General features: G+C 45.7%; 1 protein-coding gene across 14 annotated transcripts in view, besides 2 other annotated features; it reads left to right on the top strand.

Moving 5' to 3' along the window:
• The window catches only part of LPIN1 (lipin 1), a 149866-nt gene that overhangs the window by 98244 nt on the left and 34542 nt on the right, over positions 1-17080 (top strand). For 5 of the 14 annotated variants that reach the window (NM_001261428.3, NM_001349207.2, NM_001349204.2 and 2 more), the window contains 8 exons: positions 299-406; positions 3732-3858; positions 6414-6720; positions 8042-8135; positions 9099-9289; positions 11287-11380; positions 12600-12669; positions 16127-16219. In NM_001261428.3, the coding sequence (NP_001248357.1) occupies positions 299-406; positions 3732-3858; positions 6414-6720; positions 8042-8135; positions 9099-9289; positions 11287-11380; positions 12600-12669; positions 16127-16219 (1084 nt within the window). Of the gene's footprint in view, positions 1-298; positions 407-3731; positions 3859-6413; positions 6721-8041; positions 8136-9098; positions 9290-11286; positions 11381-12599; positions 12670-15920; positions 15999-16126; positions 16220-17080 lie in introns of all 14 variants that reach the window. The other 9 variants (NR_146080.2, NM_001349208.2, NM_001261427.3 and 6 more) reach the window with 3 other exon arrangements.
• Positions 3141-4340: an enhancer, noted in NCBI's record as "CDK7 strongly-dependent group 2 enhancer chr2:11919054-11920253 (GRCh37/hg19 assembly coordinates)". NCBI's record gives its function as "activates an origin of replication core promoter dependent on BRD2, BRD4, P300/CBP, MED14 and CDK7 cofactors, with strong dependence on CDK7, by STARR-seq in HCT116 cells {active_cell/tissue: HCT116}" and the evidence as "EXISTENCE:reporter gene assay evidence [ECO:0000049][PMID:35650434]".
• Positions 8936-9230: a silencer, noted in NCBI's record as "tiled region #7856; K562 Repressive non-DNase unmatched - State 14:Gen5'". NCBI's record gives its function as "represses a minimal TATA promoter and a strong SV40 promoter by Sharpr-MPRA in K562 cells {active_cell/tissue: K562}" and the evidence as "EXISTENCE:reporter gene assay evidence [ECO:0000049][PMID:27701403]".

Below are 17080 nucleotides of genomic sequence, written 5' to 3' on the forward strand. Positions count from 1 at the left end.
CTTAAAAATGTCGTTGTTGAGAGTAGTCAAATACTTTACGTAATATATATAATCTTTATATAAAGTATATATACTTTGTAATTATATATAATCTTATATATAATCTTTATATAAAGTATATTATATATACTTTATATAATCTTATATATAGTCTTTAAAGTATATTATATATACTTTATATAATCTTATATATAATCTTTATATAAAGTATATTACATATACTTTATATAATCTCACTTGATGTAATTGACCTCTGATTTTGTCTTTCTTTTAATGTGTATCACGTGGTGGTATCCAGTAGCCTGGTAGATTGCAAAAGGACTGCCCCTCATCTTGCAGTTGCGGCCGAGGGAGGTCTGTCTAGTTCTTGCCCTCCACAGTCTTCCCTGTTCCATCCTTCGGAAAGGTAGAGGAGTTATTTTCCCCATTGGGATATATTCAATAATGAAAAATTTGATCTAACTCTTACTATAAGTCTATTTTACCATTAACCAAATTACTTATGAAGAAAATACCTGTAGATTATATGAAGTGAAAATTTTGATTTAACTTTTACAAATCGATTTCACTAACCAAATTACTTATGAAAAATATGTATATAGATTACTCTTTTCCTTTCGTTATAAGCATTTGTAGATGATCAGATTTTTTTTTTTTTTTAATTCCTAAATTTGACTCTCTGGAAATTATGGTTAAGCATATAATTTTACCTAATTCTGTGAAGTGCTTTGAAAATGAGAATAATGAAATATAGCTTGGGAATATGATCTTCTGTTTTCTGTCTCGGGTTGTTTGACAAATAAGTTTACAAGATATTTTTGGAATACCACTTTAATTTATTATAAACATTTAAGTAGTTTATTGGGCTGTCTGAATAATGGAGTCAGACACTTTCCACAGCATTTCTAGAACAGAATCTTGGAGAATGGCCTGGGCTGGGTCTCAGGCTGAGGATCAAAGGTTGGTGTGTTCACTCGATGTAGTCATCTCAGATTTCTGCCTTCATTCCCTCAGTTTTGACCTACCTACTTTGTGGACTTACATGGTTTACTTTGTAAGCCTTAGCAAATGAAGCTACGATTAATTTGTACGTGGAAAACCTTTTGTCTTTTTGATTAAAGATCCAGACCTCAGGATGTACTTCATTCAGAGGCTACATTTGCAGAAGAAAAGTCCGTTTAAAATGAGGAAAACAAAGTTGTTAATAGTTAAAACTAACTAGCCTTATTGGGACTGGCAAAAATACTGAAAACTTTGATAAGGCTAATAAATACCTTGTTTATGAACATCAGTCATTGACCTTGTAAGCTTACTTTTTTGAACAACCCTTGATCTTAAAATAATAATATTTCATGACGGAGCACTTTGGAGTCATCTTTCTGGTAAATCCCACTTGGCAGTGGGCCCCATTCCTGCGTCCTTTTTGGTCTGTCTGAATTCCCTCAGTGACGGTCGGCAGAAAGCGCATCTGTGTTTGTGCACGAGACCTTTGGAGAAGGGTTGCTGTGGCCTGAACGGGCAGCATTTATGGTGGTGGCCTGTTTGCTGTTGGGGAGGGACTTGCAGCAGACTTTCTCGTAGGGCTGGGCTCCTTATGCGTGAGTTGCACGCCTGAGTGCCTCTATGGGTTTTGTGGCTCGTGGCTTTTATGAAGGGACCAGAATGTTAGGAACTCTGGAGTTGGGAATTGCTGCAGGAGAACCGTGTTCCGCATTTCGTTCTTCTAGAGCAGAGGTTGGTAAAGCACGGCCCATGGGTCAAATCTGGTCCACCATCTGCCTCTGTCAGACTTTCCCGGGCATAGGCAGTTGGTTTACATACTGGCTGTGGCTGCTTTCACACCACCACAGCAGCGAGTGGTTGCGACAGACGTCGTAAAACCCGTAAAGCCCGAGATATCTGCCACTGGGCTCTTTACAGAAAATGTTTGCCGACCCCTGTTCGGAGCAAGCTTTGTCTAAAGGACTTTATTTCATTTAGTGACAGTGAGATAATTTATTGCTGCAAAGAACTTATAGCCAAATATGTTCTATTTTGTCTGGTGAAACAGAATGGCAAGAGCTTTTTAGATACTTTGAGGTTTGGGAACAGCACCGTTGAGGGTGAGAAGTTGGTTTTGATGGACTTATTCCATGATGATGCTGGAGAAAGAGTGGATTGCGGTCACACTTGTAGGTACTGAGGCCCCTCGCTGGAGGCCACAGCCTGCGCTTTTCCCATTGCAGTGATACCGAACACGTGACTGTAGACGCTTCAGTGCCACCAAAGCGTTGTCTCTTTGGAGAAGTCCAGTTGTGGAACTGGAAGAGCAAGGAGGTTGAAAGGCCAGGAGCCTTTCCCACATGGACGTGGGGGGGCCCACGTGCCTTCTTATAGGACTGCTCCCTAAAGGGCAGAAATGTGTGTCTGTTGGGAGCAGGGTGTCCCATTGCAGAAGCTCTCCTAATGTGATGTCAGGAGCCTCCTCTCCCCAGGCAGGCGAAAGAGAGCGTGCAGGCTGCCCCGTGGCAGCACGTCATTAGAAGGGCTGGGAGTCATGGGCACCAAGGGAGCAGGGACCACCCTCTGCCCCTTGGTGTGAGATGAGAGAGATGGCACTTGGTCTGGCTGCTCTATGCAGCTTGATCAAAGAGATTCAGGATCAGTTTAGCCCACAAGGTCCCTGTTTGTTGGATACAAGTTATGTATCATCATGAACTCACCTTGTATTGACAGGAAAGTTATATTCAATTGGAGTTGAACTCTAGGTAAATGAGACCAGAAGCATCAGTTTCCGAAGAATAGATAAGGTCTGGGAAAGAAGACGGCAAGGGAAACTGAAAGCTTTATTTCCTGCTTTGTCTGAAAAACCCTGCCGCCTTCCTCTAGAGGAAATGATGTGGGAAAATAAGCAATAATTAACCATGTTATTATGCGGCAATAAATAATTACAAGAATTGCTGCTGTAAATAATATTTCTCTAAGTTGTTTAGAATATGGTGAGGATCTTGTGGATAAGTTAATGACTTTTGGATGGTTACTTTGGCTGGGCAGAAGTAAGACCTTGTTTGGGTCTTCAGAGTAAAAATTCAGGAAACATGGAGGTGGTTACTGAGCGAGCCTTAACCAGTTGGTGAGTCCCTTGTGAAGTATTCCTGGAAGACATAAGATCTTAGAAAATTTCAACTTGTAGGCTCCTGCCCAACGTTATCGAGTTTATTTGTGGCATCCAGCATCTTTGGTAAAATTGGCACATCATATAATTTCCCTGTTTCCCAGGCCAGTGCAGATGATAAATATTTAAAATATGGACTCTAATGAGTGCCTGCCCGAGCCAACCAAGACCCTTTTGCAGCCCTCTGACAGCAGAGGAACTTGATTTGGAAACAGATTGCAGGAGATGCGAGTGCAGAGTGGGGTGGGGAAGGGTGGTCTTTTTGAGGTAAGAACAGACTATTTTTCCCTTTCTCTTTCCATCTCTTTCTTTTGTATTCTGGGCCACTTCTTTTTCTCCTCTCCCCCGCGGTGCACCAGGCGGCAGGGTGGGGCGGGCGACCCACGTGGAGCGCCTTCCATGGGAGGCGCTTCCCTGCCCCCTGGTGGCCGGAGGAGGGATTTGTCATGAGGCTCCGCTCAGAGCGAACGACAGCTGGGGGTGCATTTTCTGGGCTATTTGAGCCATGGAGCTGGGCCCAAAACATTTACAAAAGTTTCTTTTCCCACCTTAATTTTCGCTTTGTGTTTTCCTTAAGTCCTTCCGGTTCCCGACCTTCAACACCTAAAAGTGATTCAGAATTGGTCAGCAAGTCCACGGAAAGGACAGGGCAGAAGAACCCAGAAATGCTTTGGCTGTGGGGAGAGCTGCCGCAGGCTGCTAAGGTGAGAGTCTCTTCAATTCTGCCACGGACCGAAGATTTCTAACTCAGCTTAAATTACATGGAATTAGTATCATAGCATAGCCAAGAAACACAGCTACCAGGAGCCAGAGGTAAACCAAAATATATTAAGGGTTAGCCTTGAATGTTGGAATTACTTTCTTCCACGTTACCAACATTATAGAGAGGTCTCATTGCTTTTGTAGATTTTAAACCTATGGGATTCCTCTTAGGATTTACTTTTTTTTTTTTTTCTTGAGACAGAGTCTCACTCTGTCACCCGGGCTGGAGGGCAATGGCTCTATCTTGGCTCACTGCAACCTCTGCCTCCCAGGTTCAAGCGATTCTCCTGCTTCAGCCTCCCGAGTAGCTGGGATTACAGGCGCATGCCACCACGCCCCACTAATTTTTGTATTTTTAGTAGAGACGGGGTTTCACCGTGTTGGCCAGGCTGGTCTTGAACTGCTGACCTCAAGTGACCCGCCTGCCTCTGCCTCCCAAAGTGCTGGGATTATAAGCGTGAGCTGCCGTGCCCAGCCAGGATCTACATTTTCTATCACAGCTAAATGCAAATTAAATTAAAGAAATACAACTTACACACAATCTTGCTGTCTTGAAACTGTAAACAAAAATAGCTTCCAGCTCTTGAGTCTGCTAGGTCATTGATGAGTGGAGCAAAGCCACAGGGAGAGAGTTGTGGACTCTTGGCCCATTGAAAAAGAAGCTGAGTTGTAAGAGCTGGAATCCACATGTTCTTGTGTCCCTCACACAGAGAGACATCTGGGAGAGCCCTGGGAGAGGGAAAGGCTAATAGAACAGAAATGAAAGATTTCAGCCTAATAGATAAACAAAGTCAGAAAACCTTAAGGTTTTGATTCATCAAGTAGTAAGTATTTCTGGGCCCTCATTGTTGGTGGGACCCTGAATTTGACCCTATGGAGATCTCCAAAATAAATAGAGAAGCAGCTGAGGGTAGCGGAGAGAATGAGGGCCTGGGAGGCAGCAGGTTATTCTGGGTTTGAGTCCTCACTGCACCGCTTGCTAAAAAGGTGACCTTGGGCAAATGAGTAGACTTCCCTGAACCTCAGTGTCTTCATCTGTAAAACTGTGAGAAAATGACAGAATTGTTGTGAGGTTAGAAGGGCTAATGTAGGTATGTGAAGTATCTGGCACCTGTAGGCCCTCTGAATATTTGCATTCTTTCTCCTTGGCTGTGGTACATGCACGCTGAGCCCCAGTTTCCCTATCTTGGATATGCAGTGGGTTTACATGTAGGTACATAACTGGTTCAGCAAATATGTTTCTAAAAACATGAAATGAACACAATCTTTTCTTTCAAGAAATTTTATTTGGTATGCTAATGTATTATAAGCATCTTGAATTATGTTATTATATCACAAGCTTTAAAAAATATTGTAAGGTCCTTAGAAGATGCTATAGCCTCTTGCATCCCCAATAAATGTTTGTAATATGAATGAATGAGTGAGTGAGTGAGTGAATGACTATTGAAAACATCCCTTATAAAGAGTCAAGATGGGCAGCTTTTTGGAGAGTAGTCTGTTGAGGCCAAAGTTGTGGATCCATTTCCTCTCTAGGTTATATTTAGATTTCATAGAAAATGCTGATTTACCTGTCCACAGCTATGGTGCTGACCCAGCCAACTCTCTTTGCAAGTTTATGTCGTTAGTTGCTGGAGAAACAGCATGGAAGTGCAAATCCATCACTTCTTCTGGCAAAATAGTTGTAACCACAGATTTTCTGTAGCATTGTTTTTATTTGCAATTGAAGCTGTTTGATCAGATAGAGAAGTGAATACTTTCTCCCCTCTTTTTAGCCCATGAATTGCATTTTGGTTTTTGTTTGAATAAATCTTTTCTGTAACTGGAAATCCCTCTGGCGGTAGAATCAGAAATGCTAATTTCTCACTCATGTGAACCAACTGTCACCAAATCTTTACTTATTCACTCATGTTTTGGGAATAAACTTTATTGAAATATACATACAGAGAAATACACACATTGTAAATGTATAGCTCAATACATTTTCACAGCAGGAACAGATCTGTGCAGCGTGCACCCAGACCGAGAAGCAGAGCATGACCAGCAGCATGGAAACCCCCACTCTTTGCGGTCACTGCTCAGACTGACCCCTCTGCTCCCTGCAAGGGGAAACTTGATCTTAGCAACAGAGATTAGTTTTGCAAGATTCATTCATGTTGTTGGTGTAGCTGTAATTCATTTATTCTCATGGCCACTGAGAATCCCAGTGTGTGTGAAAAGACTTGTAATCTAACAGCATTTAGGGTGCTCCTGCCTGTTGGCATTGCTAATCTCACTTCTCTTTGGCAGTTGATGTTTCACAGGAAAGTTCATTTGCTTTGGACCTAATATTCTTGGTTTCTGGACTTTTTGGCAGGTATAGAAATCACCAGGTGATTGTTGAGGCTTAAAAGTCCCTGCCTACTTTTGATTACTTGTTCTCCTTGGGTCACTCAGTTTTTCTGGTTGCCTTTGTGCTGACCTTGTCTCTCTCTCTGTCCCTCTCTCCTCTTTGCTCTAGTCTTCTTCTCCACACAAGATGAAAGAGTCCAGCCCATTGAGCAGTAGAAAAATTTGTGATAAAAGTCACTTTCAGGCCATTCACAGCGAATCTTCAGACACTTTTAGTGACCAATCGCCAACTCTGGTCGGTGGGGCACTTTTGGACCAGAACAAGCCTCAGACAGAAATGCAGTTTGTGAATGAAGAAGACCTGGAGACCTTAGGAGCAGCAGCGCCACTCTTGCCCATGATCGAGGAGCTCAAACCCCCCTCTGCCAGTGTAGTCCAGACAGCAAACAAGACGGATTCTCCTTCCAGGAAAAGAGGTACCAAGGCTGGGGCTTCCCGGCTCTTTTTCTGTTCATAGTTTGTGCTCACTCTACACATGACAGGTCCTTTCCAAAGTTCCAAGGAAACTGAGGTAGAAACTGAACCGTGACAATGATCATGTTCAGTCTGAGCTCTTCAGCAGAATATATTAATTATCGGAATTTAGTCATAGGAAATCAGACATGAAGAAGGCCTTGAGGATCATGTAGCAAACTTCATTTTACACACTGAGGCTGCTCGCTGAGACCTGGGAGAGTTAAGTCCTTTCCAGCACACCATGGGACCCATAAGTGTGACTTTTATAAAGCTGATTATTAGGTTAATCCTGGCCACCTCTCTCCTTGCCCTGCGTTGCTTTCCAGCCCCTTACCCACTGTAATTTCTGCATATCATTTATCATGATTTCAAATGATCATTATTTTATTGATTTATTTTTGCCTGACTCCCCCATAGAATATGTGCTGTCTGAGATCAAGAGTCTTTTCTATCTAACTTGCCTTTCTCTCCTCGGCGCTTGGCATAGTGGTTGGCACACAGTGGGCGCTCTGTGTTGGTTTAATGCACTCCTGGCTGTGTGTTAGTATCAACGATGCCAGGCCTGATCTCCATCCACCCAGCAGCTTCGTGTGGTTTTCTAGAATTATATGGACCAATTACATCATTTTCTGCTAGAAGTAAAGAGGACATTTGAAGTCATCATGGCCAGTGTCTGACAATGCACAGTGTGGGATGCTTTGCCTCGGGGTATTGATGGGGAAGTGCCTAATAAAAGCTTTTATCATTTCATAATAAGTGTAATAATAATGGTAATAGCCTCAATGCGTTTAGTGCTCAGTACACTTCAGGCACTTTACAGAGGAGGAATGAGGCTCAGCAAGTTAACTAACTTGATCCAGGCCACACGATGGTGGATGACGGCCCTGGTTTGTGGACCTTGGTGGTCTACGGTCACGTTGTACTGCCCACCATTTTCCAATGGGAAAAGCGCAGGCTGTGGCCTCCAGCGAGGGGCCTCGGTACCTACAAGTGTGACCTCAATCCACTCTTTCTCCAGCAACATCATGGAATAAGTCCATCAAAACCACCTCACCCTCAACGGTACTGTGCCCAAACCTCAAAGTATTTGTCTAAAAAGCTCTTGCCATTCTGTTTTACCAGACAAAATAGAACACACTTGGAACTGTTGTGGTTCTTGGGCAGTTTGAGTACCTGGGAGCAAATCTGCACATAGTGTTTAAATGCTGTTTCTATAGATACAAGGCCATGAGCTCATTTCTAGAAGAGTGGTTTTCTGACTTGAGCCATTTGCCGTTTTAGATAAACGAAGCCGACATCTTGGTGCTGACGGCGTCTACTTGGATGACCTCACAGACATGGATCCTGAAGTGGCGGCCCTGTATTTTCCCAAAAAGTAAAATTCCTGTTAATTCCTCACATCATTTCCTATAATCTGAATATCATTCTGTGTGAGACCAGTTTCCCCTTATGTTTGATTAGAAAGTGTGCAAGACAGCTGGGCGCGGTGGCTCACGCCTGTAATCCCAGCACTTTGGGAGGCTGAGGTGGGCGGATCACTTGAGGTCAGGAGTTCAAGACCACCCTGGCCAACATGGTGAATCCTCGTTCTACTGAAAATACCAAAATTGGCTGCACGTGCTGGCATGCACCTGTAATCCCAGCTACTCGGGAGGCTGAGGCAGGAGAATTGCTTGAATCCAGGAGGCGGAGGTTGCATTGAGCTGAGATCATGCCACTGCACACCAGCCTGGGCCACAGAGTGAGACTCCATCTCAAAAAAAAAAAAAAAAAAAAAGTGTGAGAGAGAGGCAGTGGGAGGCTCCCATTGCCTTGTGAAATGCGCCTGCTCTATGGACATAAGGGTGCGGGTACTGGGCGGCGCCCCACCTCTGGACAGGGGCGCAGCACCGGGCTGCCCTCCCTGCAAAGCCTGAGGTCATGTTGTCCACAGTGGTCGTGGTCCACAGCCCAGTAAGTGGCAGCTGTGCAGCCCTTTTTTCCCCCAGGAGGGTCTCCCGTGATCCTGGGGACCCACCCTCAGTCCCCCTGCGATCTAGGGCAGGGCTGGCGCCTGGAGGGGAAGGGCAGGGAACAGGGAGGACAGCTTGCTTCTTCTTCAGTATATTTTAGGGGGATACAGGGAGATGCAGCCAGCTGAGAAGTAATGGTTTTCTCTCCTAAGCTAAGGCGTTTAATGTCTCTTTCCTTGTCGTGGTGCTTTAATAAACATCTGTGCTGAGATGCAGCCGTCTGCGGCTCTGAGGGTGGCCGCGTGCCAGAGCATCACTGGATGGTGATGTAGGACCCTGAACTGGGACAGTCCTCAGCCGGTCTCTGCCGCTTTTCCTCCTTCCAGCGGAGATCCTTCCGGACTCGCAAAACATGCAAGCGACAACGGAGCCCGGTCAGCCAACCAGTCCCCGCAGTCGGTGGGCAGCTCGGGCGTGGACAGTGGCGTGGAGAGCACCTCGGACGGGCTGAGGGACCTCCCTTCCATCGCCATCTCCCTCTGCGGGGGCCTCAGCGACCACCGGGAGATCACGAAAGGTACCGCGGGCCTCGCGCGGGCGCCCTCTGGTGGCCGCCGGTCAGAAGGCGCAGAGGCTTAGGCTTCTCCAAGGAGTGCGTGTCAAGGCAGCTTTTCCCTTGGTTGCGGTTAATGATAGCACAGATGATAGCACCGAACTCATAATCCCGATGTTTCTGGCTTGCAGTTAGTCGGCCTCAGAGTTCTGTGGGTCACCCATGGCTCGGGCCATCGTTGTGTGTCTCCTGTGCCCCAGGCTAGCACTGCAGAGATGGCCTCCAGAGGCCTGCAGGCTAGAGGGGGTGTCAGTCTAATTAAATTAGAGGGTGTCGGCAGCGAGAGAGAAGTGCGCCGGCGCCTTGGAACAGGGAGGTCTGAGTTTGTCGGAGGAGGGCTGGGAACTTTTCCCAGCTGGATTCAAAGGGCGTTAATCGGGTGGGCTTAGGTGATTCATTCACAGCACCTGCCACATTCGTAGCAATGCACTCCCAGGGCCTCCTGACAGTTCCATGGCAGGGTGTGCCCACGCCCCCCAGTGGGTGCAGTCAGCAGTTATCAGCTGGGGACTAGACACAGTGGCCCTGCACCCCTCCCGCCCCCTCTCTCACCACTGCCTCTTTTCCATCCCCTCGTGGTATTTCTAGCAGGGAAGGGGCCGAGGCTGTGTACTTCTTCCCTCTACCTCTCAGGAGCCACCCCCATCTCCCCTTCCAACCAGGGCTGCCATGTGAGACTCCTGCCTCCACCCTGGTCCCTTCAAGGCTTTGGGAATTTTTTCTTCCGCAAAGATTGAGACCTTTTTGTTCTCACGCCCGTGCCAGCCAGTCCCTTGAGAGCGGAAACAAGATTGTGTGCTGGGTCCCGCCGGCTCCATTCATTCACTCAGTTTTCCTAGGGCCACACATTAATACCCAGCCTCACTGTGTTTCTGAAGTCATGGGGGCTCTCTGGACACTGGCGTGAGGAGTCCCCTGGGCGTTCCCTCCCTGATATACATGAGCTGGTGGGGGTGGGGTGGCAGCACTGACAAGGCTGGGCACCGTTATCTGAGTGTTATCTCATGGGGCCAGGATCTGCAGCTGTCCAGTCCTTACAGGTGAGGCCAGATCGTCACAGTCAGGAGACCCCAGGAGAGTCCCCGGAGGTCCTGATTAGGGCTCTGAGGGTGCATGTTGAAGCCAGTCAGGCTGGCATCAAGACCCAGGGACTCTTTTCCTGGACGGAGGAGATTCTCAGTGTCTGATGTCTGCTGGGTTTCGGTTCGGTTCAGGGTAAATAGGAGCTCCCAGGGAAGGAGTGGGCGTGGCTCTGGGCCAGGGAGATGGTCAGAACCGCGGTCAAGGCTTAAGGTACAGCCCAGCTGCCAGAGCCCGTCAAAGAACTGAGGGTCCGGGGCTGAGGTCTGGGCCTCCTGACCCTGCCACCTTCTCCTTTGCTCTGATCCTGGTGGGGCTGCCCCACCATGATGAGAACAGTGCCCTGCCTGCTTCTGATTGTGGTGGAGGCAGCCCCATTTTTGAAAGGGCCCTGTGCTTTCTATTTACGACATTATCAGTCCCCATGACCACCCTAGGAAGCAGATGTGGTTATTATCCCCATGCTAGAGGAGGGAACTGGGGCCTGGGAGGTGAACCGCTTGCCCAGGGTTACCCCCGTAATCGTGACTTCAGCCGAGGGAGCCTGGCTTCTGCGCCATGCGTAGCCATGACTCTGCCTGTGCAGATGCACGTGTGTGCTGTTTTCACCCCTACTCCCTGTGTGAACGTATGTGCCTCAACTAAGGTACACGTCCCCCAACATCCTCAGCCTTGCCCTGGCCTCCCTGCATTGCTGCACAGACGCCGCCTTCCAGGTAAAATGGTGCGGCCTTTACAAATACATTTTATAGGATTGTCTGCACAGTTGGAATGCACAAACTCTCAGAAAACACTTGTGAGTGAGCAAATGAAAGGTAGGCCTAATTTTGAACTGAATTTTCTTTTTGTTTTTCCCTGATCCTCTGCAATTGCTGTCACAGATGCATTCCTGGAGCAAGCTGTGTCATATCAACAGTTTGTGGACAACCCCGCTATTATCGATGACCCCAATCTCGTGGTAAAGATTGGGAGTAAGTAAGTACCTCTTGAAAGTCACTTTGGCAGTAGCATGATACTGTTTCTGTTTCATGTTTTCAAATAGACCTAGACATTAAGCCTTAGAAATATATAAAATAAAGACTTTGCTACATTGCATTATTGCATTATCTTCACTGTGGTCAGGGTTCCATGCCAATAGAATTGGCAATATAGCTGATAGGTTCAGATAGCTCTCAGTCTTGTGAGTTTTCTTTTCTTTTCTTTTTCTTTTTTTTTTTTTTTTTTTTGCGACAAGGTGTAGCTCTGTCTCCCAGGCTGGAGTGCAGTGGTGCAGTTGTAGCTCACTGTAGCCTTGAACTTGTGGGCTTAAGAGATCTTCCCACCTCCGCCTCGCAAAGTGCTGGGATTTCAGGTGTGAGCCACTACACCCAGCTCGATGTTCTTATTGAATGTGAATAGTCACACTCTGCAGTACATGGGTATGTCAGAGTAGCCTACATCTCTACCCTTTTGAAAAACTTCATTATCGGCTGGGCGCAGTGGCTGGCGCCTGTAAACTCAGCACTTTGGGAGGCCAAGGCAGGCGGATCATGAGGTCAGGAGATCGAGACCATCCTGGCTAACACGGTGAAACCCCGTCTCTACTAAAGATACAAAAAATTAGCTGGGCGCGGTGGCGGGCGCCTGTAGTTCCAGCTACTCGGGAGGATGAGGCAGGAGAATGGCGTGAACCTGGGAGTCGGAAGTTGCAGTGAGCCAAGATAGCGCCACTGCAGTCTGGCCTGGGTGAAAGAGCAAGACTCTGTCTCAAAAAAAAAAAAAAAGAAAAGAAAAACTTCATTATCTGAGGGCAAGGGATGTACAGGTATTTTTGCAGACTGTTAGCAAGCTTTTCTCCCTTAAGCCATGGATGTTTTACACCTAGTTGCCTTTACCTTGACACGTGGCAAGAAATACCCCAAGCACGTCGTGGTTTGGTGCAGCAGCTGTACGGTGGGATTTGGGCTGCTGGCATGTCCAACTGTCTGCCCTGCTGGCACGGCTGCTGCTGGGCCCTCAACTGGCCGCTGGGGTGAGGTGGGGGGAGCCTCTGCCTAGGGGTGATATGGAGGAGGGCTGGGGGCTAGCAAGAGTATTGAGCTCTTTAAGGGCCTCGCTGGAGTCCCGAGCTTTCCTTGACTACTTTATATGACATTGGAAAGGTTTTCAGTCTGAGCCTCGGTTTTTTGACATATATTTCATTGTTTTGTGTTAGATATTATAACTGGACAACAGCAGCACCCCTCCTCCTGGCAATGCAGGCCTTCCAGAAACCTTTGCCAAAGGTGAGCTTTAACATGAGAAAGAAAAGGGGATGCTAGAAATGATGGGTAGCTTAATCTGGGGTGGTTGGAATTTCACTTTTATTTTGGAAACTACAGAGTTAATTCCACTGTGCTCTTTTGAAGTTCATGAGCATACAGGCCAGGAGTTTCTGATCTCTCTCTTGCACCTTGCACGTGGTTGCCCCTCTTCCTTATCAAGGCAAAACCTCCCAATCATGGTCGAGCGGACCGAAGATTCCTTTCTCAATATCTGCCATGCAAGGGGTACAGGTGGAGGCTGAGCAGACAGGTGCCAGGACCTCAGAGCCCAGTGAGGACAAAGGGAGATGATTGTCACCCTGGAAAGGTGGAGCAGGCATCAGGGTCAGGTGCAGGTGCCCTGTGTCAAGTGTCAAGTGTCAGTGTCAAGTGCTGCTCAGCCAGGAAGCCAGCCCCATGCCTGAGTCTCTGAGGCCAGAGCCAGTACAGGGCCTGGACAGCTCCCAGTCTGCAGGGGAGAGTAGGTAAGTGGCCGTAGGGAGGAGTTAGGAGGGCAGCCACGCCACCTGCCAGTCTGCAGTGTTCTCATCCTACCCCAAACAATTCACTAGACAGTCAGCCTGGAGTTGTTAATTTTTTCAATGATAGATCTTCCTGCTAGATTATACGTTCTTTGCTGCAGAGACTGCCTTAGGCTTGTTTGTATCCTTTGTGCGCTTAGCAAGCTTTTGTATGGCTTAGGATGTTGCCGTCGGTCAGCCAGTTCAAACACTTGAGATTCTTGAAGGTCTAATTGGACTTTGTTGAGTCTAGGCTTGCTGCTTCCTGGGTTTGTGTGTGTGTGTGTGTGTGCCTGTGCCTGTGTGTCAGTGTGTGCTCATGTGCATGTGTGCATACGTGCATGTGTATGCATTTGCATGCGTGTGTGTGCGCATGTATGTGTGTGCATGCGGGTATGTGTGCATGCTTGTGCAGGTGTGTGCCTTATGTGTGTGCGTGTGTGTATGTGCATGTGTATATGTGTGGATGTGCACGTGTGTGCATGTGTGGATGTGCACGTGTGTGCGCGTGTGCATGTATGTGTGGATGTGCACATGTGTGCGTGCATGTGTGGATGTGGATGTGCACGTGTGTGTGTGCGTGTGTGTGTGTGCATGTGTTGTGTTTTGAGGACCGCAGTCTCATCCTGGGTGGTGCTTTATCTGATTATCTTTGTGGACTGGGCTGAGGGCATGTTCTCCAGAGTGGTTTTTATTTTGTCCCTGCCATGGTATCCATGGCCTGGGACACATTTTTATGTCACCGTTCTCAACACTTACAAATCCGTAAGAAAAAAGGCCATTGCAATAGCAATATAGCTAAAGGATTTATTTATTCACTGAAGAAGAAATCCACATGGGCTCTGAAACTTAAAAGACATTAGTCCTTGTGATATGCATGCTAAATCTTTCTACAAGTCAGTAACTTTTGACTATATATGGCATTTCTCTAATATAGAAATTATTTTTAAATGTAGAATTTGCCCATCTTATCTTTTATGGCTGTTGGGTTTTGTATCACACATAAAATGGCCCTGCTTCCCCATTTCCAAAACTTGTGAAGATAGGCCCTATATTTTCTTTTTGTGCTTTCTTGTATATGGGGCATATTTTTACAAGTTTTGGAAATTTCGAAAGATCTTAAAATCTTTCATCCATCTAGATTTTGTTTCAAGTGTAATGAGAGGTATTAGGAAGCAAACCAGTTTTTTTCTCAGGAAGTTATTGAATTGGTGAAGATGATTTTTGTTTTAGGAAACAGAATGACTAAAAGTGGCTTAAGTAATGATCTCATATGATGAGGATCTTAGAGGTTGGCAGTTTCAGGCTTGATGAATTTGGGTTAGCTTCTTTGTGATTTTCTCAGCTTTTCCTTGATGGTCACAAGGTGACTGCCGTACACATCGTCTGCTCAGACTGCCGCATCTGAAACGGGAGGGTAGGGGCAGCTCTCTCATAGTTCAAGACTTGGTCACATGATCACCACTAAAGCACTTCTTGGCAAAGCAATGAAATGACTGTGAACGGCTTCGACCATTGAGGTGCATCCTCTGGAGTTGAGCCAGTCTTCTCCGCATGCATTGCAGCCTGATTCTTGAACAGAGTTTCAGATCTGTCAGCAAGAAAGGGGAGGCAGATGAGCTGCTCACAGGGTCTGACATGGCTACTGAATTATCCCAGGACCGTGTATTAACTAACCCTATCCTCCACTCAGAGGCAGTTACAACTTCACCCTCTGTTACGTGTCTCTGTGAATTTAGATTTATTTCTGGACTTCGTTTTCTGTTCCTGTGATATGTGTCCTTGTATACCAACACTGCATTCTTTTAGTTACCATATATTTTGGTATATTTTAATACCCAGTAGTGCTTGTTCTACTTACTACTCTTCTGCCTGAGAATTTTCTGGGCTATTTTTGTTTGTTTTTCAAATGAACATTAGAATCAGTTTGTGAAGGACTGAAAATACTCCTGTTTGTTTTTTTCCTTTCTTTGGCCTGCTTTCTTTTTTTAAAAAAAATGTGGTTTTGTTACATTTATGAGTGGATTTAGGGGAAATAGGGTCATTCACAGCTTTGTCAATTGTCCTATTTATGAGCTGGATGTGAGTGGTTTGCATTTTAGTGCAGTTGGGTTTTCTTTTGTGTCAGATAGGGATCTTTTAAGCTACATAGTAAATTACTTATCTGTCTGCTTCCCTTAGACTGAATCTTTCAGCTTAAATCTTTCTTTTGTTACTAGCTGAGGTGTCAGCTTCTTGAAAGTTCTGTAAACTGAGGAAGGGACATTACCTAACTTTTACCTTGGTCCTGGAATTAACCTCAAGATAGATAGGTATTTTGTTCTTTGGAAAAACGTAGAAAATTATCAATTCATATTTAATCTCCCCATTAAACCCATTTACCTAAAAGTATGAATTTTCTTTTTAATACTCGAGATTTTAAATCAAATGTACCTATTAATGCAAATGTTTAGAAATTTACCCTTAGTAAAAATCTTATGCATTTTACCTTTTGTTGAAAACTGTTTTATCCTCTATCCCATATTAATCATTTCATATTTTATTTGATAATCATCATATTGAGAGTAATGATATCTTAACCAGTTAGCCACTTTAATTTGAAAACTTCCAGTCTTACTAATCACTAATGATTTCTAATGCTTTCTTTTTTTGTTGTTGTTGTTGTGTTGTATTTTATTTGTTGTTTGTTTATTCCTTTAACATCTTCTTAAGTCTTCATGCTTAAGTTACCTTCATGTAATTTTGGACGCCATTAGGTTTTGCTTCTCTAAAATTTTTAACGCACAAATAGTATGTTGTGTTTTCTCTGATTTTTTTTTAAATCTTACTTTAATTTGCATGTATGTTTCTTTTGGTTTGAATGTGCTAAGTTGATCTTTTTTTGTTCCATTATTTATGTTACCATCCATTTAAAACAGGCCACTGTGGAATCTATCATGAGGGATAAAATGCCCAAAAAGGGAGGAAGATGGTGGTTTTCATGGAGGGGAAGAAACACCACAATCAAGGAGGTAAGCCCAGAAGACAAAGCAGTGCTCACACTTAGCAAGTGTTGGTTTTGTGTAGTGAGATTGGTTTTCATGTACTTACATCAGAGAAATGAAGATAGGCCCTAGTGCTGAGTTTCCATGAGCCAGCTCTGCCATGAAGTAGGGCGAGTGCTCGTGGAACGTGGGGAAGGTGGGGAGGAAGGTCAGGAGCCAGCAGCATAGGTGTCACCTCCTGGCTCTGTAACTGTTGGGAGACTGTGGTCCAGTCACTCCCTCATGGTAAGATTTCGTCATCTATAAAAGAAGGGATTCAGCCTGGGAATTCAGTTTCTTAAGAAATTAAATATCTTCCTTCTGCTTGTGGAGACAATTTTTCTTTTTCTTTTTCTCCCCTCCCCTCCCCTCCTTTCTTTTTTGGAGACGGGCTTGCTCAGTCACCCAGGCTGGAGTGCAGTGGTGCAATCTCAGCTCCCTGCAACCTCTGCCTCCCGGGCTCAAGCAATCCTCCCATCTCAGCCTCTAGAATAGCTGGGATTACAGCCATGCACCACCACGCACAGCTAAGTTTTGTATTTTTAGTGGAGACGGGGTTTTGCCATGTTGCCCAGGCTGGTCTCAAACTCCTGGGCTCAAGCGATCTGCCTGCCTAGGCCTCCGAAAGTGTTGGCATTACAGGCGTGAGCCACCATGCCCAGGCTGTGAGGACAATTTTAATGAGGCATACTCACAGCAGTTGACTAATTCTCTGAGTCCTTTCACTGAAATGGCATGTCTAAAGGTCCATGGCTTTGGCGTTCATGTCTATGAGTGCCTGTGATTTCTTTCAGATCTTCGTTGCCCTCTCCTCTATTTCTTGAAGCGCTTGCTTTGCTTGGCTCCCAG

Source organism: Homo sapiens, chromosome 2 (genome assembly GCF_000001405.40).
Source record: "Homo sapiens chromosome 2, GRCh38.p14 Primary Assembly".
In the NCBI taxonomy this organism is placed as follows: Eukaryota; Metazoa; Chordata; class Mammalia; order Primates; family Hominidae; genus Homo; species Homo sapiens.